The 25,313-nt window shown below is 62.2% G+C and overlaps 15 non-coding genes across 15 annotated transcripts, besides 12 other annotated features; 6 read left to right on the forward strand and 9 right to left on the reverse strand.

The window, feature by feature from the left end:
* Window positions 367-1,248: an enhancer, noted in NCBI's record as "H3K27ac-H3K4me1 hESC enhancer chr1:161420051-161420932 (GRCh37/hg19 assembly coordinates)". NCBI's record gives its function as "activates a minimal SCP1, AML or CMV promoter by ChIP-STARR-seq in naive H9 embryonic stem cells {active_cell/tissue: H9 hESC(naive)}" and the evidence as "EXISTENCE:reporter gene assay evidence [ECO:0000049][PMID:30033119]".
* Window positions 783-853, forward strand: TRG-GCC1-2 (tRNA-Gly (anticodon GCC) 1-2). The gene has a single exon. It is a non-coding gene; the product is annotated as a tRNA-Gly (tRNA).
* Window positions 2,287-2,787: an enhancer, noted in NCBI's record as "H3K4me1 hESC enhancer chr1:161421971-161422471 (GRCh37/hg19 assembly coordinates)". NCBI's record gives its function as "activates a minimal SCP1, AML or CMV promoter by ChIP-STARR-seq in naive H9 embryonic stem cells {active_cell/tissue: H9 hESC(naive)}" and the evidence as "EXISTENCE:reporter gene assay evidence [ECO:0000049][PMID:30033119]".
* Window positions 4,428-5,041: an enhancer, noted in NCBI's record as "OCT4-H3K27ac-H3K4me1 hESC enhancer chr1:161424112-161424725 (GRCh37/hg19 assembly coordinates)". NCBI's record gives its function as "activates a minimal SCP1, AML or CMV promoter by ChIP-STARR-seq in naive and primed H9 embryonic stem cells {active_cell/tissue: H9 hESC(naive and primed)}" and the evidence as "EXISTENCE:reporter gene assay evidence [ECO:0000049][PMID:30033119]".
* Window positions 4,714-4,785, reverse strand: TRE-CTC1-3 (tRNA-Glu (anticodon CTC) 1-3). The gene has a single exon. It is a non-coding gene; the product is annotated as a tRNA-Glu (tRNA).
* On the reverse strand, window positions 5,072-5,143 carry TRG-TCC2-3 (tRNA-Gly (anticodon TCC) 2-3). The gene has a single exon. It is a non-coding gene; the product is annotated as a tRNA-Gly (tRNA).
* Window positions 5,144-5,729: 586 nt separating this feature from the next.
* On the reverse strand, window positions 5,730-5,801 carry TRD-GTC2-3 (tRNA-Asp (anticodon GTC) 2-3). The gene has a single exon. It is a non-coding gene; the product is annotated as a tRNA-Asp (tRNA).
* A 636-nt stretch (window positions 5,802-6,437) lies between these two features.
* TRL-CAG1-3 (tRNA-Leu (anticodon CAG) 1-3) lies at window positions 6,438-6,520 on the forward strand. The gene has a single exon. It is a non-coding gene; the product is annotated as a tRNA-Leu (tRNA).
* Window positions 6,885-7,498: an enhancer, noted in NCBI's record as "H3K27ac-H3K4me1 hESC enhancer chr1:161426569-161427182 (GRCh37/hg19 assembly coordinates)". NCBI's record gives its function as "activates a minimal SCP1, AML or CMV promoter by ChIP-STARR-seq in naive H9 embryonic stem cells {active_cell/tissue: H9 hESC(naive)}" and the evidence as "EXISTENCE:reporter gene assay evidence [ECO:0000049][PMID:30033119]".
* Window positions 7,499-8,112: an enhancer, noted in NCBI's record as "H3K27ac-H3K4me1 hESC enhancer chr1:161427183-161427796 (GRCh37/hg19 assembly coordinates)". NCBI's record gives its function as "activates a minimal SCP1, AML or CMV promoter by ChIP-STARR-seq in primed H9 embryonic stem cells {active_cell/tissue: H9 hESC(primed)}" and the evidence as "EXISTENCE:reporter gene assay evidence [ECO:0000049][PMID:30033119]".
* Window positions 8,113-8,725: an enhancer, noted in NCBI's record as "H3K27ac-H3K4me1 hESC enhancer chr1:161427797-161428409 (GRCh37/hg19 assembly coordinates)". NCBI's record gives its function as "activates a minimal SCP1, AML or CMV promoter by ChIP-STARR-seq in naive and primed H9 embryonic stem cells {active_cell/tissue: H9 hESC(naive and primed)}" and the evidence as "EXISTENCE:reporter gene assay evidence [ECO:0000049][PMID:30033119]".
* Window positions 8,214-8,284, forward strand: TRG-GCC1-3 (tRNA-Gly (anticodon GCC) 1-3). Its single transcript has one exon. It is a non-coding gene; the product is annotated as a tRNA-Gly (tRNA).
* Window positions 11,778-12,295: an enhancer, noted in NCBI's record as "H3K27ac-H3K4me1 hESC enhancer chr1:161431462-161431979 (GRCh37/hg19 assembly coordinates)". NCBI's record gives its function as "activates a minimal SCP1, AML or CMV promoter by ChIP-STARR-seq in naive and primed H9 embryonic stem cells {active_cell/tissue: H9 hESC(naive and primed)}" and the evidence as "EXISTENCE:reporter gene assay evidence [ECO:0000049][PMID:30033119]".
* TRE-CTC1-4 (tRNA-Glu (anticodon CTC) 1-4) lies at window positions 12,125-12,196 on the reverse strand. Its single transcript has one exon. It is a non-coding gene; the product is annotated as a tRNA-Glu (tRNA).
* On the reverse strand, window positions 12,482-12,553 carry TRG-TCC2-4 (tRNA-Gly (anticodon TCC) 2-4). The gene has a single exon. It is a non-coding gene; the product is annotated as a tRNA-Gly (tRNA).
* Window positions 12,554-13,139: 586 nt separating this feature from the next.
* TRD-GTC2-4 (tRNA-Asp (anticodon GTC) 2-4) lies at window positions 13,140-13,211 on the reverse strand. The gene has a single exon. It is a non-coding gene; the product is annotated as a tRNA-Asp (tRNA).
* Window positions 13,332-14,322: an enhancer, noted in NCBI's record as "H3K27ac-H3K4me1 hESC enhancer chr1:161433016-161434006 (GRCh37/hg19 assembly coordinates)". NCBI's record gives its function as "activates a minimal SCP1, AML or CMV promoter by ChIP-STARR-seq in primed H9 embryonic stem cells {active_cell/tissue: H9 hESC(primed)}" and the evidence as "EXISTENCE:reporter gene assay evidence [ECO:0000049][PMID:30033119]".
* TRL-CAG1-4 (tRNA-Leu (anticodon CAG) 1-4) lies at window positions 13,848-13,930 on the forward strand. Its single transcript has one exon. It is a non-coding gene; the product is annotated as a tRNA-Leu (tRNA).
* Window positions 14,323-15,314: an enhancer, noted in NCBI's record as "H3K27ac-H3K4me1 hESC enhancer chr1:161434007-161434998 (GRCh37/hg19 assembly coordinates)". NCBI's record gives its function as "activates a minimal SCP1, AML or CMV promoter by ChIP-STARR-seq in primed H9 embryonic stem cells {active_cell/tissue: H9 hESC(primed)}" and the evidence as "EXISTENCE:reporter gene assay evidence [ECO:0000049][PMID:30033119]".
* TRG-GCC1-4 (tRNA-Gly (anticodon GCC) 1-4) lies at window positions 15,574-15,644 on the forward strand. The gene has a single exon. It is a non-coding gene; the product is annotated as a tRNA-Gly (tRNA).
* A 3,860-nt stretch (window positions 15,645-19,504) lies between these two features.
* TRE-CTC1-5 (tRNA-Glu (anticodon CTC) 1-5) lies at window positions 19,505-19,576 on the reverse strand. Its single transcript has one exon. It is a non-coding gene; the product is annotated as a tRNA-Glu (tRNA).
* Window positions 19,577-19,862: 286 nt separating this feature from the next.
* TRG-TCC2-5 (tRNA-Gly (anticodon TCC) 2-5) lies at window positions 19,863-19,934 on the reverse strand. The gene has a single exon. It is a non-coding gene; the product is annotated as a tRNA-Gly (tRNA).
* A 586-nt stretch (window positions 19,935-20,520) lies between these two features.
* On the reverse strand, window positions 20,521-20,592 carry TRD-GTC2-5 (tRNA-Asp (anticodon GTC) 2-5). Its single transcript has one exon. It is a non-coding gene; the product is annotated as a tRNA-Asp (tRNA).
* A 636-nt stretch (window positions 20,593-21,228) lies between these two features.
* Window positions 21,229-21,311, forward strand: TRL-CAG1-5 (tRNA-Leu (anticodon CAG) 1-5). Its single transcript has one exon. It is a non-coding gene; the product is annotated as a tRNA-Leu (tRNA).
* Window positions 21,368-21,922: an enhancer, noted in NCBI's record as "H3K27ac-H3K4me1 hESC enhancer chr1:161441052-161441606 (GRCh37/hg19 assembly coordinates)". NCBI's record gives its function as "activates a minimal SCP1, AML or CMV promoter by ChIP-STARR-seq in primed H9 embryonic stem cells {active_cell/tissue: H9 hESC(primed)}" and the evidence as "EXISTENCE:reporter gene assay evidence [ECO:0000049][PMID:30033119]".
* Window positions 21,923-22,478: an enhancer, noted in NCBI's record as "H3K27ac-H3K4me1 hESC enhancer chr1:161441607-161442162 (GRCh37/hg19 assembly coordinates)". NCBI's record gives its function as "activates a minimal SCP1, AML or CMV promoter by ChIP-STARR-seq in naive H9 embryonic stem cells {active_cell/tissue: H9 hESC(naive)}" and the evidence as "EXISTENCE:reporter gene assay evidence [ECO:0000049][PMID:30033119]".
* Window positions 22,479-23,033: an enhancer, noted in NCBI's record as "H3K27ac-H3K4me1 hESC enhancer chr1:161442163-161442717 (GRCh37/hg19 assembly coordinates)". NCBI's record gives its function as "activates a minimal SCP1, AML or CMV promoter by ChIP-STARR-seq in naive H9 embryonic stem cells {active_cell/tissue: H9 hESC(naive)}" and the evidence as "EXISTENCE:reporter gene assay evidence [ECO:0000049][PMID:30033119]".

Here is a 25,313-nt window from a genome sequence, read left to right on the forward strand (position 1 = left end):
CCGGGACCAGCTCTGCGCCACAGCGCATCCCCACGCGGGAAGCCGCGGCCTGGGCCGTCCCAGCCACACCCAGCGCGCCTTCTCCAGGGTCAGCCAGCTGCGGCTCTGCCGAAGCGCTCCTCCGCTCCTTTCTCGCGCTCCAGCCTCCCTACCAGCCCAGGGGGCCGGACCCCAAGTGCGAGCCGGTGGCGTGGGTCAGAGCGCAGGAGCGAGGCGCCCACGGACCTGGTCTGCGTTTCTGAGCCGCACGCCACGGCTGCGAGACCCGTTCCCCATCGCCGCCCCCGCTCGCTGACACACCCATCCCGCCTCTCACCTGCTGGTGACACAAGTGAGAAGGCTGGCCCCACGGTGGTGAAAAAAAAAACACCTCACGAAAGAAAGAAAGACAGAAAGAAACAACAAAAACAAAACACAAAAACTCTGGGTCTGTGCCGGGGATCCGCGCTCAGCAAGGCCCGCCACAGCAAATCTGCCCACACGGGCATTCGGGCGCGGGCCACGGCCGGTCCTTCCCCTGGAGACCCCGGCGGGCAGTCTCTCGACCCTGGGCGGCAGAGAAAGCGCAAGATGGGACGAGTCGGCCTCTCTCCCTCCGCTCTCCCTCCGCGCCCCGCCTCAGGTCCCTCGACGTGACGAGAGCCTCCCCTTCTGCTCGCCCCATCGGGCCAGCCTCTCGTGGACGCTGCAATAGGACGGAGGCCCACGGCAGGCGGTGACCAGTGAACGGCGGCTGGTGGCGAGTTCCGCTGTGCCAGCTTCCGTTGGCGTTTGCCATCGGTGCATGGGTGGTTCAGTGGTAGAATTCTCGCCTGCCACGCGGGAGGCCCGGGTTCGATTCCCGGCCCATGCAGCACGCCCTCCCATTTTGGTGCTGCAGCAGCACCAAGGCGTAGCTGCGCTCGCCTCTGCCGCCTCCTTACACTCGGGGCGCGCGAGCGAGTCCGGCACCGGCTGCGCTCCCACGCGCGACGGCCCTCTGCCCTTTCTTCCGTGCCTCTCTCGACTGACTTAGGGATGAGCCTACCCCACGCACCCACACACCTTGGTGACAACAACCCCTCCAGACACGAGAGCGCGCCAGACACCAGAACTTGGCAGCCTCCTGGTCCTGTTTCTCTTCATTGCCCTGCCACCGCCTCTGCCCGACGCATTTCACTTCACGGAACACCGCCAGGCACCACGGGCTTGCAGCCACTCGCACCACCCCTTCTCTTCACATTTCACCGCCTCGACCTCTCTCTCTCTCTCTCTCTCTCTCTCTCTCTCTCTGTCTCTCTCTGTCTCTCTCCCCCCCCCCCCCTCGCTGGCTCCCCACATCCAGAAAATGATGCCATGGTTGCCCTTCCAGTAGGAAGGAAGTCGCGACTCCAGGGAGTAACTCATCACTTTCCCCTAGTTGGTCACACAGTCCTTAACGCGACCACACGAGTGTACGCGTGGCATGTGCACCGTCTATATTCACCGTGTTCCGGCTACTCCACACTCTCTCCCCTCATTCTGCCGGCACCACCACCGCCATGTCGCAACTCCCAACCTAACCCCAATCCACCACTTTAGTCGAGGATGCTGCCTTGTTTCTCCCCCTCGGACCTCTTTTCATCTCAGCCCCAGACACATGCCTGAGACGTGAATGTGCGTCCTGAAGACGGCTTATTTATGTCTCGGGTCCAGTTGCATTCCCTACCCTTTTGGGACGTGGGACGTGGCCTCCAGTCGCTCTGTCACGATGTCTCTCCCACCCTGGGCTGCTTGCCACCTCACCCCAGCCCCACTCCATACTCTGACCGCCCAGCCCAAGCAGCATCCCAGTCTCGCCGGCGCGGGTCCCCTTTGACCACACAGACTTCGTTCCTGCCCAGACCAACCGGCTGAAAATGTACTGTTCCCACCAGCCTTCAGGCTCAGCCCTCCCTCCCCCACCTTTGTCTCACGCCACCCACCCCTTCACTCACACACACACTCTGACGCGCACACACACACACACACACTCACACTCTCACTCTCTCTCTCTCTCACTCTCTGTCTTTCTCTGTCTCTCTCTCTCTCTCTGTCTCTATGTCTCTATCTCTCTGTCTCTGTCTCACACAGCCAACTCTCCGTCTCGCCGTCAATGCCCCTCTCTCAGACGACTCATATCCCCCAGCCCTGGCCTCCTTCAGCCTCTTCAGACTCACGCCAGCTCCGCCACCAGCTGGGATCCCTCCGACCTATGGCATAGGCAGCCCGCGAGGTGCCCTAACGCCCCAGGCATCTGCACAACCTCCGTTTGACTGCACAGCCTCACTCCCAGACCTGGCCAGCCAGCCCTGTGCACCCCCTGGACACCCTGGACTCCTTCTTCCAGCTCCCAGCACGCGACATGCTTCTCTCCTTTCCTTGGTGTCAGCCCCTTGCCCCGGGCTAGGGTGGACGCCAGCCACGGGATCGGACACCTTCGTCCGTCGCTGTCACCCACTGACATCCACCCACAACACGCTGGCAAGCAAGCCAGCCTCCCGTGGGGATGGCAAACATCTCTATCCCCGATAGGGTCTGGTCCCTGCAGGTGATCCGACTGTGCCAAGATCCCACGAATGACACGGGACAGGTTTGTGCAGTTGGTTGGACGTCTACTTTGCCCCTACAGAGGGGTTTTGGCAAGAAGTCGACTGACTTCTGCCATTGACCTGGGGAATCAGCCAAACAATAAGATCAGTACGGGTTGAATAGAGGTTGGAGAACTGGGCTCATCTGTGCTAAGGAGGGGATGGGAAAAAAGTCCCACAGCGAATCTTGGCGCTGGGGATAGGTACCATCTCCACATGTTCCTTGACATTTGGAGAGACGATAGAGAGCGTAGGTCAGGCAATGGGAAGCAAACTTCGGCTAGAAGTCTGTCAGGAACCCCAACCCCGCACATGCGCTTTGGTCAGCCTGGCCGTTGGGTTTTCCCCACGAACTGCTGCATCTCCACGCTTCAATGCCCGTGGCCAGGTTGGTCTGACTAACGGGACCTCTCAAGATTCATTTTCACATCCAGAATAGGCGAGAATCTCAAACCTGTCGACGGTGAGCGGGAGCATGTGTACGCACATGCACGTGTACGTTGCGGGAAGTCAGGGACCCCGAACGGAGGGAGCGGCTGGAGCTGCGGCCGAGGCACGTAAATTGTGAGGATTTCATTTCAATACGGACATTCATCAGTTCCCAAATAATGCTTTTATAATTTCTTACGCCTGTCTTTACTTTAATCTCTTAATCCTGTTATCTTCGTAAGCTGAGGATGTACGTCACCTCAGGACCGCTGTGACAATTGTGTTGACTCTACAAATTGATGGTAAAACGTGTGTGTTTGAACAGCATGAAATCAGGGCACCTTGAAAAAGAATAGAATAACAGCGACTTTTAGGGAACAGGGGAAGACAACGGTAAGGTCTGACTGCCTGCGAGGTCGGGCAGAAAGAGCCATATTTTTCTTCTTGCAGAGAGCCTATGAAGGACGTGCAGGTAGGGAAGATGTGGCTAAGACAACCTAAGTGTCCATCGGCCGGGAAATGGATTAACAAAAATGTGGCATATAGACACCATGGAATACTCTTTGGCCATAGAAAAGAACGAAATCCTCTGGTCTGCAGCAACAGAGGCGGAGCTAAAGGTCACGATGGAACATCAAACGAGCCGGGCACAGAAAGACAGAGAGGGCAGGTTCTTACTCCAATCCTGGGAGCTCAAAATGTTCACCTTGTGGAGGTAGAGAGTAGAACGATAGACACCAGAGGCTGGAGAGGGTGTGTGGGTGACTGCGGTGAAGAGAGGTTGGTGAAATGGGTCCGAGCATGCGTTTGGATGGAGGGAATACGTTCCAATAATGTTCTACGGCGGAGTAGGGCGACTAGGGGTAACAACGATGTATTAGTGCTTGTTTCCGAAGAGCTCCTGGAAGACAGCACCTGAGATGCTCCCAACAGGTAGAGATGACAGATACCCACGGGATGGATGCCCTACATCCCCTCAGTTGACCATCGATCACTACGCGATGTACACGCGTTACCACACGTCACAGGAATCCCATGGATATCATGTCCGCATGAAGAAAAACATAGTCATGCTGCCAGGGTGATTGTCGCAGCTCTGCCTCCCTAGCGCTATGGCCCGTGGTCTCGGCTCCTCAAGTTCCGCTGCCATTACTACCAAAGCCGCTGACACCCGTGGAGCCCAATCACGGATCCCACGCCTTGGGAAAGCCAGTGCGCTTGCTGGCATGAGTGGCTCTGGCGGGTGGCCCAACCATTAGGCGCAGATCCCCCGCAGCCGAGAGAGAAGTGGCCCGTCAGCCACTCGGCTTGGCTTGGCAGAAGCCGCTCCGCTCGAGAGTCCTGGCCCATCCCGTGGCCAGCCGAGAGTGCGAGGGTGGCGGTGGTGGTGGTGGCGGGTCACCTGGCGGCCATGGGAGGAGAAAGCCTGACCTGGCCAGTGGGCTTTGCCGCTGACAAAGAGTGGGAGCGAGGCGAGCACCTGACAAGGAAGGGCTGTGAAGCTGATGTTGCGAAGGTGGCGCCAGCGAGGCCAAAAGGAGGGATGGGTGGAGGTAGGCGGGGAGCGTTGGGGCGGCGCACGTGGAAGCCGCGGGAGGTTGTGGCTGGGGCGCGGGAGAAGCGAGCCAGCCTGTTGGTCAAAAGGGGAGGTGTGAAGGGGCCTGGCAGTTGGCAGGCAGAGCCAACGAAGGAAGGCTTCCCTGACCGGGAATCGAACCCGGGCCGCGGCGGTGAGAGCGCCGAATCCTAACCACTAGACCACCAGGGAGAGGCGGCTTCAGGGCCCGGCTTGCGCCTCCTGGCCCCAGCGCCTCTGGCCCCAGCACTGGGCGCTACCTTGGCGCCTGTCCCCTGCTTCGCTTTAAAACAAACACCCGCAACCAGCCCCCGCGACGCCGGCGGCAACCGGCCTGCCCTCACGAGCAGCTCTGGCCCTGTTCGCAGCACACCCTCCAAACACCGCGCGCCTCCTTCCCCGGCGCACAGGCACGCAGCCACAGGCCAAGCTGCGACGCGAGCTCCGCGACGGGGACCTCCGCAAAAGGTCCGCCCGCTGCGTTGGCCGGGAATCGAACCCGGGTCAACTGCTTGGAAGGCAGCTATGCTCACCACTATACCACCAACGCCGCACGGCGCGGGCAGCCCCGCCGCGCCGGCCCGGGGCTCCCACCAGCGCGCCGCCGACGCCCGGGGCAGGCCGGCCCCGACGCCCGGTCCGTCCGCCCGCCCGCAGCTCCGCGCTGCCGCGGCCCCGCCAAAGGCCGCCCCGCGCCCCACCGGGGCAAGGCCAGCGCGGCTGCCCCGTTCCGCCCGCCTGCCTCTGGGGGCGCTCTCGCTCCCTCGCCGCCCGGGGCCGCCAGAGCCCTTCCCCACCAGGTGCCCGGCGGGGACACGGCCGGCGCCGACGGGGTCCCCACTCCTCCGCCTCCCACCGGGCGCCGGGCCCTGTGCCTCGCAGAAAGCCTCTTCCGACACCCACTTTGGGCCGGCAGCTCTCTGGGCGCCGTGGGGGCCAGAGGAGGCCGCCCGGCTGCGGGCGACCAAGCCGCGGGCGAGAAGAAAAGGTAGGAGGCCAAGGGGGCCCAGGAGGCCCAGGGGGCCAAGGGGCCAGGCCCGAGATGGCGCCCTGCGACTAGCGGGAGGGCGGAGGAAGGAGAGAGAAGGAGGGCCCACAGGCTGGGTCCGAGGCGGCGGCCCAAAAAGCACGGCTGCCTCCCCGTCGGGGAATCGAACCCCGGTCTCCCGCGTGACAGGCGGGGATACTCACCACTATACTAACGAGGACGACGGCGACGGTCGCCGGGACGCCAGACCCCACTCCGACCGCGGACGCCTAGCCCTGCCTTGATCCCCTCCCCCGACGGCAGGGGCCGGGCGCGTGCTCGCCTTCCACCCGCCGCCCGCCGCCCGCCACCCGCCACACGCCACCCGTCACCTGCCACCCGCCCCCCGCCACCGTTGGCACGACCTACCCCGACACCCAACAAAGCACCCTGCGATCCCGCTGGGACCCGGAGCCGGAGCCGGACCCCGACAGGTACCGGAGCGGCGTGGAACCTCCCCGCGCGCCCTGCCTGCTGTCTCCAACGCGGGGATCGCGCCGGGGCAGGAGGAGGCGCGGGCGAAACAGTCAGGCCGCTGCTCCTAGGACGCGGTGGGCGCACGCCCTGCGGGGTTCGGCGAGCGGAGGCGCGGGGGCTGGGGCGTGCGCCGGCGGCGGCCGGCCCGACGCGGACCCTTTGGGTCCGGGGTGGGGACGCGGGGGCGTCCACGCCAACGCCAGCCGGCTCCGTTCACTTGGCGCCCGCTCCGCCCGCGCGGTCCGTCGGTTGCGCACCGAACCCAGACAGGCGCCGGCCAAGGGCGCAGGCGTTCGCGCCGGGTCCCAGCCATGCCAGCGGCGACGCGCCCCGGCGCGCCGTCAGGATGGCCGAGCGGTCTAAGGCGCTGCGTTCAGGTCGCAGTCTCCCCTGGAGGCGTGGGTTCGAATCCCACTCCTGACAAGCCGACCTTTTGGCCCGCCCGCCGGAGGGCAACGCCCATGGCAACCCTGGAGCACCTTTGGCCGCTTCCTGCCTTGAGCCCTTGCCCGCTCTCCAGACTCCAGTCCCCTTGAAGCAAGCCTCCAAAACGCCGCCGCTTCTCAGGCACGTCCGTTCTTCCTGCCCACCCGCCGGCTGTCGCAGAAACAGCCCAGGACCATGCGCCAGCGCCCGCGACCCTCTACCAATTGCCCTTCGGACAGACGCCCTCCCCACCACCTCACACGCCCTCTTCCCTGGCCCCACACACAGCGAGCGACCGCGACCACCTTCCACGCTCTTCCCTGCCTATCTCCTCCGCCCGCCTTCTCCTCACTCGCCCAAACAGACACAGCCCAGATTCTTCCCCTATTCCTCCTTTTCCCTCCTTCCTCCCACCGGCCTCCGCCCACCGCCCACCGCCTTGAATCGCCGCTGCGCTGCCCAGAGGCGTCCTGGCCTGAACAGCCCGCCCGGTTTCACCCTCCAACTTCTGACCGCTGAGCAGCAGCGAGCGACTCGCTCGTGGAGCCGCACACACGTCTCCCACCAGAGGCACGCCATCCAACATCCTGTCCTTTCCTCCGACCCCTCGGACCCCGGCCGCGCATTCCATTCTGCCGACACCCTAGCCAGGTCGCCGATCCCACCTCGCTACCTGTGCTCCCTTCCCGCTAACACCTGCCTGCCGGCCCACCTGCAGCCCGGACGCCTGCCGGCCAGAGGCAGCGGGAACCCTGCACACAGCCTGGCAGGCGAGTCCAAACCCGGAAAGACAGCCCAAGAGGAATCACGAGCGGAAGCCCTAGATCCCCGTCACCCGCCCACAAACGCCTGGCCCCGCCGGGACCAGCTCTGCGCCACAGCGCATCCCCACGCGGGAAGCCGCGGCCTGGGCCGTCCCAGCAACACCCAGCGCGCCTTCTCCAGGGTCAGCCAGCTGCGGCTCTGCCTAAGCGCTCCTCCGCTCCTTTCTCGCGCTCCAGCCTCCCTACCAGCCCAGGGGGCCGGACCCCAAGTGCGAGCCGGTGGCGTGGGTCAGAGCGCAGGAGCGAGGCGCCCACGGACCTGGTCTGCGTTTCTGAGCCGCACGCCACGGCTGCGAGACCCGTTCCCCATCGCCGCCCCCGCTCGCTGACACACCCATCCCGCCTCTCACCTGCTGGTGACACAAGTGAGAAGGCTGGCCCCACGGTGGTGAAAAAAAAAAAACACCTTACGAAAGAAAGAAAGAAAGAAAGAAAGAAAGAAAGAAAGAAAGAAAGAAAGAAAGGAAGAAAGAAAGAAAGAAACAACAAAAACAAAACACAAAAACTCTGGGTCTGTGCCGGGGATCCGCGCTCAGCAAGGCCCGCCACAGCAAATCTGCCCACACGGGCATTCGGGCGCGGGCCACGGCCGGTCCTTCCCCTGGAGACCCCGGCGGGCAGTCTCTCGACCCTGGGCGGCAGAGAAAGCGCAAGATGGGACGAGTCGGCCTCTCTCCCTCCGCTCTCCCTCCGCGCCCCGCCTCAGGTCCCTCGACGTGACGAGAGCCTCCCCTTCTGCTCGCCCCATCGGGCCAGCCTCTCGTGGACGCTGCAATAGGACGGAGGCCCACGGCAGGCGGTGACCAGTGAACGGCGGCTGGTGGCGAGTTCCGCTGTGCCAGCTTCCGTTGGCGTTTGCCATCGGTGCATGGGTGGTTCAGTGGTAGAATTCTCGCCTGCCACGCGGGAGGCCCGGGTTCGATTCCCGGCCCATGCAGCACGCCCTCCCATTTTGGTGCTGCAGCAGCACCAAGGCGTAGCTGCGCTCGCCTCTGCCGCCTCCTTACACTCGGGGCGCGCGAGCGAGTCCGGCACCGGCTGCGCTCCCACGCGCGACGGCCCTCTGCCCTTTCTTCCGTGCCTCTCTCGACTGACTTAGGGATGAGCCTACCCCCCGCACCCACACACCTTGGTGACAACAACCCCTCCAGACACGAGAGCGCGCCAGACACCAGAACTTGGCAGCCTCCTGGTCCTGTTTCTCTTCATTGCCCTGCCACCGCCTCTGCCCGACGCATTTCACTTCACGGAACACCGCCAGGCACCACGGGCTTGCAGCCACTCGCACCACCCCTTCTCTTCACATTTCACCGCCTCGACCTCTCTCTCTCTCTCTCTCTCTGTCTCTCTCTCCCCCCCCCTCGCTGGCTCCCCACATCCAGAAAATGATGCCATGGTTGCCCTTCCAGTAGGAAGGAAGTCGCGACTCCAGGGAGTAACTCATCACTTTCCCCTAGTTGGTCACACAGTCCTTAACGCGACCACACGAGTGTACGCGTGGCATGTGCACCGTCTATATTCACCGTGTTCCGGCTACTCCACACTCTCTCCCCTCATTCTGCCGGCACCACCACCGCCATGTCGCAACTCCCAACCTAACCCCAATCCACCACTTTAGTCGAGGATGCTGCCTTGTTTCTCTCCCTCGGACCTCTTTTCATCTCAGCCCCAGACACATGCCTGAGACGTGAATGTGCGTCCTGAAGACGGCTTATTTATGTCTCGGGTCCAGTTGCATTCCCTACCCTTTTGGGACGTGGGACGTGGCCTCCAGTCGCTCTGTCACGATGTCTCTCCCACCCTGGGCTGCTTGCCACCTCACCCCAGCCCCACTCCATACTCTGACCGCCCAGCCCAAGCAGCATCCCAGTCTCGCCGGCGCGGGTCCCCTTTGACCACACAGACTTCGTTCCTGCCCAGACCAACCGGCTGAAAATGTACTGTTCCCACCAGCCTTCAGGCTCAGCCCTCCCTCCCCCACCTTGGTCTCACGCCACCCACCCCTTCACTCACACACACACTCAGACGCGCACGCACACACACACACACACACACTCACACTCTCTCTCTCTCTCTCTCTCTCTCTGTCTTTCTCTGTCTCTCTCTCTCTCTCTGTCTCTATGTCTCTATCTCTCTGTCTCTGTCTCACACAGCCAACTCTCCGTCTCGCCGTCAATGCCCCTCTCTCAGACGACTCATATCCCCCAGCCCTGGCCTCCTTCAGCCTCTTCAGACTCACGCCAGCTCCGCCACCAGCTGGGATCCCTCCCACCTATGGCATAGGCAGCCCGCGAGGTGCCCTAACGCCCCAGGCATCTGCACAACCTCCGTTTGACTGCACAGCCTCACTCCCAGACCTGGCCAGCCAGCCCTGTGCACCCCCTGGACACCCTGGACTCCTTCTTCCAGCTCCCAGCACGCAACATGCTTCTCTCCTTTCCTTGGTGTCAGCCCCTTGCCCCGGGCTAGGGTGGACGCCAGCCACGGGATCGGACACCTTCGTCCGTCGCTGTCACCCACTGACATCCACCCACAACACGCTGGCAAGCAAGCCAGCCTCCCGTGGGGATGGCAAACATCTCTATCCCCGATAGGGTCTGGTCCCTGCAGGTGATCCGACTGTGCCAAGATCCCACGAATGACACGGGACAGGTTTGTGCAGTTGGTTGGACGTCTACTTTGCCCCTACAGAGGGGTTTTGGCAAGAAGTCGACTGACTTCTGCCATTGACCTGGGGAATCAGCCAAACAATAAGATCAGTACGGGTTGAATAGAGGGTTGTAGAACTGGGCTCATCTGTGCTAAGGAGGGGAGGGGAAAAAAAGTCCCACAGCGAATCTTGGCGCTGGGGATAGGTACCATCTCCACATGTTCCTTGACATTTGGAGAGACGATAGAGAGCGTAGGTCAGGCAATGGGAAGCAAACTTGGGCTAGAAGTCTGTCAGGAACCCCAACCCCGCACATGCGCTTTGGTCAGCCTGGCCGTTGGGTTTTCCCCACGAACTGCTGCATCTCCACGCTTCAATGCCCGTGGCCAGGTTGGTCTGACTAACGGGACCTCTCAAGATTCATTTTCACATCCAGAATAGGCGAGAATCTCAAACCTGTCGACGGTGAGCGGGAGCATGTGTACGCACATGCACGTGTACGTTGCGGGAAGTCAGGGACCCCGAACGGAGGGAGCGGCTGGAGCTGCGGCCGAGGCACGTAAATTGTGAGGATTTCATTTCAATACGGACATTCATCAGTTCCCAAATAATGCTTTTATAATTTCTTACGCCTGTCTTTACTTTAATCTCTTAATCCTGTTATCTTCGTAAGCTGAGGATGTACGTCACCTCAGGACCGCTGTGACAATTGTGTTGACTCTACAAATTGATGGTAAAACGTGTGTGTTTGAACAGCATGAAATCAGGGCACCTTGAAAAAGAATAGAATAACAGCGACTTTTAGGGAACAGGGGAAGACAACGGTAAGGTCTGACTGCCTGCGAGGTCGGGCAGAAAGAGCCATATTTTTCTTCTTGCAGAGAGCCTATGAAGGACGTGCAGGTAGGGAAGATGTGGCTAAGACAACCTAAGTGTCCATCGGCCGGGAAATGGATTAACAAAAATGTGGCATATAGACACCATGGAATACTCTTTGGCCATAGAAAAGAACGAAATCCTCTGGTCTGCAGCAACAGAGGCGGAGCTAAAGGTCACGATGGAACATCAAACGAGCCGGGCACAGAAAGACAGAGAGGGCAGGTTCTTACTCCAATCCTGGGAGCTCAAAATGTTCACCTTGTGGAGGTAGAGAGTAGAACGATAGACACCAGAGGCTGGAGAGGGTGTGTGGGTGACTGCGGTGAAGAGAGGTTGGTGAAATGGGTCCGAGCATGCGTTTGGATGGAGGGAATACGTTCCAATAATGTTCTACGGCGGAGTAGGGCGACTAGGGGTAACAACGATGTATTAGTGCTTGTTTCCGAAGAGCTCCTGGAAGACAGCACCTGAGATGCTCCCAACAGGTAGAGATGACAGATACCCACGGGATGGATGCCCTACATCCCCTCAGTTGACCATCGATCACTACGCGATGTACACGCGTTACCACACGTCACAGGAATCCCATGGATATCATGTCCGCATGAAGAAAAACATAGTCATGCTGCCAGGGTGATTGTCGCAGCTCTGCCTCCCTAGCGCTATGGCCCGTGGTCTCGGCTCCTCAAGTTCCGCTGCCATTACTACCAAAGCCGCTGACACCCGTGGAGCCCAATCACGGATCCCACGCCTTGGGAAAGCCAGTGCGCTTGCTGACATGAGTGGCTCTGGCGGGTGGCCCAACCATTAGGCGCAGATCCCCCGCAGCCGAGAGAGAAGTGGCCCGTCAGCCACTCGGCTTGGCTTGGCAGAAGCCGCTCCGCTCGAGAGTCCTGGCCCATCCCGTGGCCAGCCGAGAGTGCGAGGGTGGCGGTGGTGGTGGTGGCGGGTCACCTGGCGGCCATGGGAGGAGAAAGCCTGACCTGGCCAGTGGGCTTTGCCGCTGACAAAGAGTGGGAGCGAGGCGAGCACCTGACAAGGAAGGGCTGTGAAGCTGATGTTGCGAAGGTGGCGCCAGCGAGGCCAAAAGGAGGGATGGGTGGAGGTAGGCGGGGAGCGTTGGGGCGGCGCACGTGGAAGCCGAGGGAGGTTGTGGCTGGGGCGCGGGAGAAGCGAGCCAGCCTGTTGGTCAAAAGGGGAGGTGTGAAGGGGCCTGGCAGTTGGCAGGCAGAGCCAACGAAGGAAGGCTTCCCTGACCGGGAATCGAACCCGGGCCGCGGCGGTGAGAGCGCCGAATCCTAACCACTAGACCACCAGGGAGAGGCGGCTTCAGGGCCCGGCTTGCGCCTCCTGGCCCCAGCGCCTCTGGCCCCAGCACTGGGCGCTACCTTGGCGCCTGTCCCCTGCTTCGCTTTAAAACAAACACCGCAACCAGCCCCCGCGACGCCGGCGGCAACCGGCCTGCCCTCACGAGCAGCTCTGGCCCTGTTCGCAGCACACCCTCCAAACACCGCGCGCCTCCTTCCCCGGCGCACAGGCACGCAGCCACAGGCCAAGCTGCGACGCGAGCTCCGCGACGGGGACCTCCGCAAAAGGTCCGCCCGCTGCGTTGGCCGGGAATCGAACCCGGGTCAACTGCTTGGAAGGCAGCTATGCTCACCACTATACCACCAACGCCGCACGGCGCGGGCAGCCCCGCCGCGCCGGCCCGGGGCTCCCACCAGCGCGCCGCCGACGCCCGGGGCAGGCCGGCCCCGACGCCCGGTCCGTCCGCCCGCCCGCAGCTCCGCGCTGCCGCGGCCCCGCCAAAGGCCGCCCCGCGCCCCACCGGGGCAAGGCCAGCGCGGCTGCCCCGTTCCGCCCGCCTGCCTCTGGGGGCGCTCTCGCTCCCTCGCCGCCCGGGGCCGCCAGAGCCCTTCCCCACCAGGTGCCCGGCGGGGACACGGCCGGCGCCGACGGGGTCCCCACTCCTCCGCCTCCCACCGGGCGCCGGGCCCTGTGCCTCGCAGAAAGCCTCTTCCGACACCCACTTTGGGCCGGCAGCTCTCTGGGCGCCGTGGGGGCCAGAGGAGGCCGCCCGGCTGCGGGCGACCAAGCCGCGGGCGAGAAGAAAAGGTAGGAGGCCAAGGGGGCCCAGGAGGCCCAGGGGGCCAAGGGGCCAGGCCCGAGATGGCGCCCTGCGACTAGCGGGAGGGCGGAGGAAGGAGAGAGAAGGAGGGCCCACAGGCTGGGTCCGAGGCGGCGGCCCAAAAAGCACGGCTGCCTCCCCGTCGGGGAATCGAACCCCGGTCTCCCGCGTGACAGGCGGGGATACTCACCACTATACTAACGAGGACGACGGCGACGGTCGCCGGGACGCCAGACCCCACTCCGACCGCGGACGCCTAGCCCTGCCTTGATCCCCTCCCCCGACGGCAGGGGCCGGGCGCGTGCTCGCCTTCCACCCGCCGCCCGCCGCCCGCCACCCGCCACACGCCACCCGTCACCTGCCACCCGCCCCCCGCCACCGTTGGCACGACCTACCCCGACACCCAACAAAGCACCCTGCGATCCCGCTGGGACCCGGAGCCGGAGCCGGACCCCGACAGGTACCGGAGCGGCGTGGAACCTCCCCGCGCGCCCTGCCTGCTGTCTCCAACGCGGGGATCGCGCCGGGGCAGGAGGAGGCGCGGGCGAAACAGTCAGGCCGCTGCTCCTAGGACGCGGTGGGCGCACGCCCTGCGGGGTTCGGCGAGCGGAGGCGCGGGGGCTGGGGCGTGCGCCGGCGGCGGCCGGCCCGACGCGGACCCTTTGGGTCCGGGGTGGGGACGCGGGGGCGTCCACGCCAACGCCAGCCGGCTCCGTTCACTTGGCGCCCGCTCCGCCCGCGCGGTCCGTCGGTTGCGCACCGAACCCAGACAGGCGCCGGCCAAGGGCGCAGGCGTTCGCGCCGGGTCCCAGCCATGCCAGCGGCGACGCGCCCCGGCGCGCCGTCAGGATGGCCGAGCGGTCTAAGGCGCTGCGTTCAGGTCGCAGTCTCCCCTGGAGGCGTGGGTTCGAATCCCACTCCTGACAAGCCGACCTTTTGGCCCGCCCGCCGGAGGGCAACGCCCATGGCAACCCTGGAGCACCTTTGGCCGCTTCCTGCCTTGAGCCCTTGCCCGCTCTCCAGACTCCAGCCCCCTTGAAGCAAGCCTCCAAAACGCCGCCGCTTCTCAGGCACGTCCGTTCTTCCTGCCCACCCGCCGGCTGTCGCAGAAACAGCCCAGGACCATGCGCCAGCGCCCGCGACCCTCTACCAATTGCCCTTCGGACAGACGCCCTCCCCACCACCTCACACGCCCTCTTCCCTGGCCCCACACACAGCGAGCGACCGCGACCACCTTCCACGCTCTTCCCTGCCTATCTCCTCCGCCCGCCTTCTCCTCACTCGCCCAAACAGACACAGCCCAGATTCTTCCCCTATTCCTCCTTTTCCCTCCTTCCTCCCACCGGCCTGCGCCCACCGCCCACCGCCTTGAATCGCCGCTGCGCTGCCCAGAGGCGTCCTGGCCTGAACAGCCCGCCCGGTTTCACCCTCCAACTTCTGACCGCTGAGCAGCAGCGAGCGACTCGCTCGTGGAGCCGCACACACGTCTCCCACCAGAGGCACGCCATCCAGCATCCTGTCCTTTCCTCCGACCCCTCGGACCCCGGCCGCGCATTCCATTCTGCCGACACCCTAGCCAGGTCGCCGATCCCACCTCGCTACCTGTGCTCCCTTCCCGCTAACACCTGCCTGCCGGCCCACCTGCAGCCCGGACGCCTGCCGGCCAGAGGCAGCGGGAACCCTGCACACAGCCGGGCAGGCGAGTCCAAACCCGGAAAGACAGCCCAAGAGGAATCACGAGCGGAAGCCCTAGATCCCCGTCACCCGCCCACAAACGCCTGGCCCCGCCGGGACCAGCTCTGCGCCACAGCGCATCCCCACGCGGGAAGCCGCGGCCTGGGCCGTCCCAGCCACACCCAGCGCGCCTTCTCCAGGGTCAGCCAGCTGCGGCTCTGCCGAAGCGCTCCTCCGCTCCTTTCTCGCGCTCCAGCCTCCCTACCAGCCCAGGGGGCCGGACCCCAAGTGCGAGCCGGTGGCGTGGGTCAGAGCGCAGGAGCGAGGCGCCCACGGACCTGGTCTGCGTTTCTGAGCCGCACGCCACGGCTGCGAGACCCGTTCCCCATCGCCGCCCCCGCTCGCTGACACACCCATCCCGCCTCTCACCTGCTGGTGACACAAGTGAGAAGGCTGGCCCCACGGTGGTGAAAAAAAAAACACCTCACGAAAGAAAGAAAGACAGAAAGAAACAACAAAAACAAAACACAAAAACTCTGGGTCTGTGCCGGGGATCCGCGCTCAGCAAGGCCCGCCACAGCAAATCTGCCCACACGGGCATTCGGGCGCGGGCCACGGCCGGTCCTTCCCCTGGAGACCCCGGCGGGCAGTCTCTCGACCCTGGGCGGCAGAGAAAGCGCAAGATGGGACGAGTCGGCCTCTCTCCCTCCGCTCTCCCTCCGCGCCCCGCCTCAGGTCCCTCGACGTGACGAGAGCCTCCCCTTCTGCTCGCCCCATCGGGCCAGCCTCTCGTGGACGCTGCAATAGGACGGAGGCCCACGGCAGGCGGTGACCAGTGAACGGCGGCTGGTGGCGAGTTCCGCTGTGCCAGCTTCCGTTGGCGTTTGCCATCGGTGCATGGGTGGTTCAGTGGTAGAATTCTCGCCTGCCACGCGGGAGGCCCGGGTTCGATTCCCGGCCCATGCAGCACGCCCTCCCATTTTGGTGCTGCAGCAGCACCAAGGCGTAGCTGCGCTCGCCTCTGCCGCCTCCTTACACTCGGGGCGCGCGAGCGAGTCCGGCACCGGCTGCGCTCCCACGCGCGACGGCCCTCTGCCCTTTCTTCCGTGCCTCTCTCGACTGACTTAGGGATGAGCCTACCCCACGCACCCACACACCTTGGTGACAACAACCCCTCCAGACACGAGAGCGCGCCAGACACCAGAACTTGGCAGCCTCCTGGTCCTGTTTCTCTTCATTGCCCTGCCACCGCCTCTGCCCGACGCATTTCACTTCACGGAACACCGCCAGGCACCACGGGCTTGCAGCCACTCGCACCACCCCTTCTCTTCACATTTCACCGCCTCGACCTCTCTCTCTCTCTCTCTCTCTCTCTCTCTCTCTCTGTCTCTCTCTGTCTCTCTCCCCCCCCCCCCCTCGCTGGCTCCCCACATCCAGAAAATGATGCCATGGTTGCCCTTCCAGTAGGAAGGAAGTCGCGACTCCAGGGAGTAACTCATCACTTTCCCCTAGTTGGTCACACAGTCCTTAACGCGACCACACGAGTGTACGCGTGGCATGTGCACCGTCTATATTCACCGTGTTCCGGCTACTCCACACTCTCTCCCCTCATTCTGCCGGCACCACCACCGCCATGTCGCAACTCCCAACCTAACCCCAATCCACCACTTTAGTCGAGGATGCTGCCTTGTTTCTCCCCCTCGGACCTCTTTTCATCTCAGCCCCAGACACATGCCTGAGACGTGAATGTGCGTCCTGAAGACGGCTTATTTATGTCTCGGGTCCAGTTGCATTCCCTACCCTTTTGGGACGTGGGACGTGGCCTCCAGTCGCTCTGTCACGATGTCTCTCCCACCCTGGGCTGCTTGCCACCTCACCCCAGCCCCACTCCATACTCTGACCGCCCAGCCCAAGCAGCATCCCAGTCTCGCCGGCGCGGGTCCCCTTTGACCACACAGACTTCGTTCCTGCCCAGACCAACCGGCTGAAAATGTACTGTTCCCACCAGCCTTCAGGCTCAGCCCTCCCTCCCCCACCTTTGTCTCACGCCACCCACCCCTTCACTCACACACACACTCTGACGCGCACACACACACACACACACTCACACTCTCACTCTCTCTCTCTCTCACTCTCTGTCTTTCTCTGTCTCTCTCTCTCTCTCTGTCTCTATGTCTCTATCTCTCTGTCTCTGTCTCACACAGCCAACTCTCCGTCTCGCCGTCAATGCCCCTCTCTCAGACGACTCATATCCCCCAGCCCTGGCCTCCTTCAGCCTCTTCAGACTCACGCCAGCTCCGCCACCAGCTGGGATCCCTCCGACCTATGGCATAGGCAGCCCGCGAGGTGCCCTAACGCCCCAGGCATCTGCACAACCTCCGTTTGACTGCACAGCCTCACTCCCAGACCTGGCCAGCCAGCCCTGTGCACCCCCTGGACACCCTGGACTCCTTCTTCCAGCTCCCAGCACGCGACATGCTTCTCTCCTTTCCTTGGTGTCAGCCCCTTGCCCCGGGCTAGGGTGGACGCCAGCCACGGGATCGGACACCTTCGTCCGTCGCTGTCACCCACTGACATCCACCCACAACACGCTGGCAAGCAAGCCAGCCTCCCGTGGGGATGGCAAACATCTCTATCCCCGATAGGGTCTGGTCCCTGCAGGTGATCCGACTGTGCCAAGATCCCACGAATGACACGGGACAGGTTTGTGCAGTTGGTTGGACGTCTACTTTGCCCCTACAGAGGGGTTTTGGCAAGAAGTCGACTGACTTCTGCCATTGACCTGGGGAATCAGCCAAACAATAAGATCAGTACGGGTTGAATAGAGGTTGGAGAACTGGGCTCATCTGTGCTAAGGAGGGGATGGGAAAAAAGTCCCACAGCGAATCTTGGCGCTGGGGATAGGTACCATCTCCACATGTTCCTTGACATTTGGAGAGACGATAGAGAGCGTAGGTCAGGCAATGGGAAGCAAACTTCGGCTAGAAGTCTGTCAGGAACCCCAACCCCGCACATGCGCTTTGGTCAGCCTGGCCGTTGGGTTTTCCCCACGAACTGCTGCATCTCCACGCTTCAATGCCCGTGGCCAGGTTGGTCTGACTAATGGGACCTCTCAAGATTCATTTTCACATCCAGAATAGGCGAGAATCTCAAACCTGTCGACGGTGAGCGGGAGCATGTGTACGCACATGCACGTGTACGTTGCGGGAAGTCAGGGACCCCGAACGGAGGGAGCGGCTGGAGCTGCGGCCGAGGCACGTAAATTGTGAGGATTTCATTTCAATACGGACATTCATCAGTTCCCAAATAATGCTTTTATAATTTCTTACGCCTGTCTTTACTTTAATCTCTTAATCCTGTTATCTTCGTAAGCTGAGGATGTACGTCACCTCAGGACCGCTGTGACAATTGTGTTGACTCTACAAATTGATGGTAAAACGTGTGTGTTTGAACAGCATGAAATCAGGGCACCTTGAAAAAGAATAGAATAACAGCGACTTTTAGGGAACAGGGGAAGACAACGGTAAGGTCTGACTGCCTGCGAGGTCGGGCAGAAAGAGCCATATTTTTCTTCTTGCAGAGAGCCTATGAAGGACGTGCAGGTAGGGAAGATGTGGCTAAGACAACCTAAGTGTCCATCGGCCGGGAAATGGATTAACAAAAATGTGGCATATAGACACCATGGAATACTCTTTGGCCATAGAAAAGAACGAAATCCTCTGGTCTGCAGCAACAGAGGCGGAGCTAAAGGTCACGATGGAACATCAAACGAGCCGGGCACAGAAAGACAGAGAGGGCAGGTTCTTACTCCAATCCTGGGAGCTCAAAATGTTCACCTTGTGGAGGTAGAGAGTAGAACGATAGACACCAGAGGCTGGAGAGGGTGTGTGGGTGACTGCGGTGAAGAGAGGTTGGTGAAATGGGTCCGAGCATGCGTTTGGATGGAGGGAATACGTTCCAATAATGTTCTACGGCGGAGTAGGGCGACTAGGGGTAACAACGATGTATTAGTGCTTGTTTCCGAAGAGCTCCTGGAAGACAGCACCTGAGATGCTCCCAACAGGTAGAGATGACAGATACCCACGGGATGGATGCCCTACATCCCCTCAGTTGACCATCGATCACTACGCGATGTACACGCGTTACCACACGTCACAGGAATCCCATGGATATCATGTCCGCATGAAGAAAAACATAGTCATGCTGCCAGGGTGATTGTCGCAGCTCTGCCTCCCTAGCGCTATGGCCCGTGGTCTCGGCTCCTCAAGTTCCGCTGCCATTACTACCAAAGCCGCTGACACCCGTGGAGCCCAATCACGGATCCCACGCCTTGGGAAAGCCAGTGCGCTTGCTGACATGAGTGGCTCTGGCGGGTGGCCCAACCATTAGGCGCAGATCCCCCGCAGCCGAGAGAGAAGTGGCCCGTCAGCCACTCGGCTTGGCTTGGCAGAAGCCGCTCCGCTCGAGAGTCCTGGCCCATCCCGTGGCCAGCCGAGAGTGCGAGGGTGGCGGTGGTGGTGGTGGCGGGTCACCTGGCGGCCATGGGAGGAGAAAGCCTGACCTGGCCAGTGGGCTTTGCCGCTGACAAAGAGTGGGAGCGAGGCGAGCACCTGACAAGGAAGGGCTGTGAAGCTGATGTTGCGAAGGTGGCGCCAGCGAGGCCAAAAGGAGGGATGGGTGGAGGTAGGCGGGGAGCGTTGGGGCGGCGCACGTGGAAGCCGCGGGAGGTTGTGGCTGGGGCGCGGGAGAAGCGAGCCAGCCTGTTGGTCAAAAGGGGAGGTGTGAAGGGGCCTGGCAGTTGGCAGGCAGAGCCAACGAAGGAAGGCTTCCCTGACCGGGAATCGAACCCGGGCCGCGGCGGTGAGAGCGCCGAATCCTAACCACTAGACCACCAGGGAGAGGCGGCTTCAGGGCCCGGCTTGCGCCTCCTGGCCCCAGCGCCTCTGGCCCCAGCACTGGGCGCTACCTTGGCGCCTGTCCCCTGCTTCGCTTTAAAACAAACACCCGCAACCAGCCCCCGCGACGCCGGCGGCAACCGGCCTGCCCTCACGAGCAGCTCTGGCCCTGTTCGCAGCACACCCTCCAAACACCGCGCGCCTCCTTCCCCGGCGCACAGGCACGCAGCCACAGGCCAAGCTGCGACGCGAGCTCCGCGACGGGGACCTCCGCAAAAGGTCCGCCCGCTGCGTTGGCCGGGAATCGAACCCGGGTCAACTGCTTGGAAGGCAGCTATGCTCACCACTATACCACCAACGCCGCACGGCGCGGGCAGCCCCGCCGCGCCGGCCCGGGGCTCCCACCAGCGCGCCGCCGACGCCCGGGGCAGGCCGGCCCCGACGCCCGGTCCGTCCGCCCGCCCGCAGCTCCGCGCTGCCGCGGCCCCGCCAAAGGCCGCCCCGCGCCCCACCGGGGCAAGGCCAGCGCGGCTGCCCCGTTCCGCCCGCCTGCCTCTGGGGGCGCTCTCGCTCCCTCGCCGCCCGGGGCCGCCAGAGCCCTTCCCCACCAGGTGCCCGGCGGGGACACGGCCGGCGCCGACGGGGTCCCCACTCCTCCGCCTCCCACCGGGCGCCGGGCCCTGTGCCTCGCAGAAAGCCTCTTCCGACACCCACTTTGGGCCGGCAGCTCTCTGGGCGCCGTGGGGGCCAGAGGAGGCCGCCCGGCTGCGGGCGACCAAGCCGCGGGCGAGAAGAAAAGGTAGGAGGCCAAGGGGGCCCAGGAGGCCCAGGGGGCCAAGGGGCCAGGCCCGAGATGGCGCCCTGCGACTAGCGGGAGGGCGGAGGAAGGAGAGAGAAGGAGGGCCCACAGGCTGGGTCCGAGGCGGCGGCCCAAAAAGCACGGCTGCCTCCCCGTCGGGGAATCGAACCCCGGTCTCCCGCGTGACAGGCGGGGATACTCACCACTATACTAACGAGGACGACGGCGACGGTCGCCGGGACGCCAGACCCCACTCCGACCGCGGACGCCTAGCCCTGCCTTGATCCCCTCCCCCGACGGCAGGGGCCGGGCGCGTGCTCTCCTTCCACCCGCCGCCCGCCGCCCGCCACCCGCCACACGCCACCCGTCACCTGCCACCCGCCCCCCGCCACCGTTGGCACGACCTACCCCGACACCCAACAAAGCACCCTGCGATCCCGCTGGGACCCGGAGCCGGAGCCGGACCCCGACAGGTACCGGAGCGGCGTGGAACCTCCCCGCGCGCCCTGCCTGCTGTCTCCAACGCGGGGATCGCGCCGGGGCAGGAGGAGGCGCGGGCGAAACAGTCAGGCCGCTGCTCCTAGGACGCGGTGGGCGCACGCCCTGCGGGGTTCGGCGAGCGGAGGCGCGGGGGCTGGGGCGTGCGCCGGCGGCGGCCGGCCCGACGCGGACCCTTTGGGTCCGGGGTGGGGACGCGGGGGCGTCCACGCCAACGCCAGCCGGCTCCGTTCACTTGGCGCCCGCTCCGCCCGCGCGGTCCGTCGGTTGCGCACCGAACCCAGACAGGCGCCGGCCAAGGGCGCAGGCGTTCGCGCCGGGTCCCAGCCATGCCAGCGGCGACGCGCCCCGGCGCGCCGTCAGGATGGCCGAGCGGTCTAAGGCGCTGCGTTCAGGTCGCAGTCTCCCCTGGAGGCGTGGGTTCGAATCCCACTCCTGACAAGCCGACCTTTTGGCCCGCCCGCCGGAGGGCAACGCCCATGGCAACCCTGGAGCACCTTTGGCCGCTTCCTGCCTTGAGCCCTTGCCCGCTCTCCAGACTCCAGCCCCCTTGAAGCAAGCCTCCAAAACGCCGCCGCTTCTCAGGCACGTCCGTTCTTCCTGCCCACCCGCCGGCTGTCGCAGAAACAGCCCAGGACCATGCGCCAGCGCCCGCGACCCTCTACCAATTGCCCTTCGGACAGACGCCCTCCCCACCACCTCACACGCCCTCTTCCCTGGCCCCACACACAGCGAGCGACCGCGACCACCTTCCACGCTCTTCCCTGCCTATCTCCTCCGCCCGCCTTCTCCTCACTCGCCCAAACAGACACAGCCCAGATTCTTCCCCTATTCCTCCTTTTCCCTCCTTCCTCCCACCGGCCTGCGCCCACCGCCCACCGCCTTGAATCGCCGCTGCGCTGCCCAGAGGCGTCCTGGCCTGAACAGCCCGCCCGGTTTCACCCTCCAACTTCTGACCGCTGAGCAGCAGCGAGCGACTCGCTCGTGGAGCCGCACACACGTCTCCCACCAGAGGCACGCCATCCAACATCCTGTCCTTTCCTCCGACCCCTCGGACCCCGGCCGCGCATTCCATTCTGCCGACACCCTAGCCAGGTCGCCGATCCCACCTCGCTACCTGTGCTCCCTTCCCGCTAACACCTGCCTGCCGGCCCACCTGCAGCCCGGACGCCTGCCGGCCAGAGGCAGCGGGAACCCTGCACACAGCCTGGCAGGCGAGTCCAAACCCGGAAAGACAGCCCAAGAGGAATCACGAGCGGAAGCCCTAGATCCCCGTCACCCGCCCACAAACGCCTGGCCCCGCCGGGACCAGCTCTGCGCCACAGCGCATCCCCACGCGGGAAGCCGCGGCCTGGGCCGTCCCAGCCACACCCAGCGCGCCTTCTCCAGGGTCAGCCAGCTGCGGCTCTGCCGAAGCGCTCCTCCGCTCCTTTCTCGCGCTCCAGCCTCCCTACCAGCCCAGGGGGCCGGACCCCAAGTGCGAGCCGGTGGCGTGGGTCAGAGCGCAGGAGCGAGGCGACCACGGACCTGGTCTGCGTTTCTGAGCCGCACGCCACGGCTGCGAGACCCGTTCCCCATCGCCGCCCCCGCTCGCTGACACACCCATCCCGCCTCTCACCTGCTGGTGACACAAGTGAGAAGGCTGGCCCCACGGTGGTGAAAAAAAAAACACCTCACGAAAGAAAGAAAGAAAGAAAGAAAGAAAGAAAGAAAGAAAGAAAGAAAGAAAGAAAGAAACAACAAAAACAAAACACAAAAACTCTGGGTCTGTGCCGGGGATCCGTGCTCAGCAAGGCCCGCCACAGCAAATCTGCCCACACGGGCATTCGGGCGCGGGCCACGGCCGGTCCTTCCCCTGGAGACCCCGGCGGGCAGTCTCTCGACCCTGGGCGGCAGAGAAAGCGCAAGATGGGACGAGTCGACCTCTCTCCCTCCGCTCTCCCTCCGCGCCCAACCTCAGTTGCCTGGATGTGAGGAGAGCCTCCCCTTCTGCCCTCCTCATCGCGCCAGCCTGTCTTGTACCCTCCAATAGGATGGAGGCCTACGGCAGGCAGTGATCAGTGGGTCAGAATGCGGATGAGGTCAGATAAGGGAATAAAGGTAGGCTGCCCAACCCAGCAGTCGGCAGCCAGCAGCGGCAACCGACTCAGTTCCTCTTCTACACTTTGGAAGGTTTGGTTTTTCGCTCTATGCAAAAAATCTTGCTGTTCTTCACTCTTTGCATCCGCTGTGCCTTGAAGTCCTGTAACACTGATTACAAAGGTCTGCAGCTTCACTCCTGAAGGGACCGAGACCACGAACCCACTGGCAGGAGGAAACTCCGGAGACATCTGAACATTTGAATGAATAAACTCTGGACACTCTATCTTTAAGATCCCTAACACTCACCACGAGGGTCTGCGGCTTCATTCTTGAAGTCAGCCAATCCAAGAACCCACCAATTCCAGACACATTTTGGCAACCCAGATGGGACTATCGCCTATTGCCAAGTGATGAATGCCATCGGACCCCTTTCACTTGGTATTCTGTCTCATTTTTCCTTATAATTTGGGGGCTAAATACCGGGCACCTGTCGGCCAGTTAAAAGCAAGTAGTGTGGCTGCTGGACTAAAGACACGGTTTTCAGGCTTTCTGGGAAAGAGCTCTGTAACAACCCCCAACTCTTCGGAGTTGGGAGCATTGGTTTGCCTGGAACCAGCTTCCGCTTTTCCTGTGCTTCTGGGCTGAGCTGATGGTCGACAGAGAGGAAAGCCATCCAGCTTTGGGGTCCCCACAACAAGTTGGTTGACCCTGTGGACATGAGCAGAACTCTGAAAGGCATGTCGCCGAAGCGAGACTCGCCCATCTATCCTCTCTATCCTGACCCTTGTCCCCTGGGTCCTAATGCCTGCCAGACAAACTTCCTCTCAACTCTCTTCTCTGAGGGTAGTCCTGCTTCTAGAAATCATTCCCTGTCTCTGGTGCTTTTCTAGTTTCTCCTATAAGAATGATTTCTAGTATAACTCCAGGACTCTGTTACCTTCTTTAGGCACCCAGGCTCACCAATCAGAAAGACATAATTTTTGTCCAAAGCCCTATTGTAGGGGGTACTCCCTGGAATTTTAGGATCCCTCCTCAGACCAGTACGCCTAAACAAAGCTATTCCCGAAGCTAGGATATGGGGAGCCTCAGAAATTGTATCCTTCCTATTCATATAAGTGAGGACAAAAGTGTCACTGTTCCAACCCTTGAGATCCCTTGCCTCCCTCAGGGTATGGCCCTCCACTTCATTTTTGGGGCATAACATCTTTATAGGACACAGGTAAGGTCCCAATACTAACAGGAGGACAGGGAAGCCTGCAGGTTTTTGAGAATGCGTCAGCAAGGGCCACTAAATCTGACCTTCCCCGGTCCTCCTTGTGGTCTGGGAGGAAAACTAGTGTTTCTGCTGCTGCATTGGTGAGTGCAACTATTCTGATCAGCAGGGTCCAGGGACCGTTGTGGGTTCTTGGGCAGGGGGAGAAACAAAACAAACCAAAACTGTGGGCAGTTTTGTCTTTCAGATGGGAAATACTCAGGCATCAACAGGCTCACCCTTGAAACGCATCCTAAGCCATTGGGACCAATTTGACCCACAAACCCTGAAAAAGAGACAGCTCATTTTTTTCTGCCCTATGGCCTGGCCCCAGAATTCTCTCTCTGATGGGGAAAAATGGCCACCTGAGGGAAGTACAAATTACAATACTATCCTGCAGCTTGAGCTTTTCTGTAAGAGGGAAGGCAAATTGAGTGAAATACCTTATGTTCAAGCTTTCTTTTCATTGAAGGAGGATACACAACTATGCAAAGCTTACAATTTACATCCCACAGGAGGATCTCTCAGCTTACTCCCATATCCTAGCCTCCCTATAGCTCCCCTTCCTGTTAATGGTAATCCTCCTTTGATCTCCCCTGCCCAGAAGGAAATAAGCAAAGAAATCTCCGAAGGACCACAACCCCCCCGGGCTATCGGTTATGTCCCCTTCAAGCTGTATGGGGAGGGTAATTTGGCCCAACCTGGGTACATGTCCCCTTCTCCCTCTCTGATTTAAAGCAGATCAAGGCAGACCTGAGGAAGTTTTCAGATGATCCTGATAGGTACATAGATGTCCTACAGGGTCTAGGGCAAAGTTTCGACCTTGCTTGGAGAGATGTCATGCTACTGTTAGATCAAACCCTGGCCTTTAATGAAAAGAATGCAGCTTTAGCTGCAGCCTGAGAGTTTGGAGATACCTGGCATCTTAGTCAAGTAAATGATAGAATGACAGCTGAAGAAAAGGACAAATTCCCTACTGGTCAGCAAGCCATCCCCAGTATGGATCCCCACTGGGACTTCAACTCAGATCATGGGGACTGGAGTCATAAACATCTGTTGACCTGTGTTCTAGAAGGACTAAGGAGAATTAGGAAAAAGCCCATGAATTA

This window comes from Homo sapiens, chromosome 1, assembly GCF_000001405.40.
Source record: "Homo sapiens chromosome 1, GRCh38.p14 Primary Assembly".
Lineage (NCBI taxonomy): Eukaryota > Metazoa > Chordata > Mammalia > Primates > Hominidae > Homo > Homo sapiens.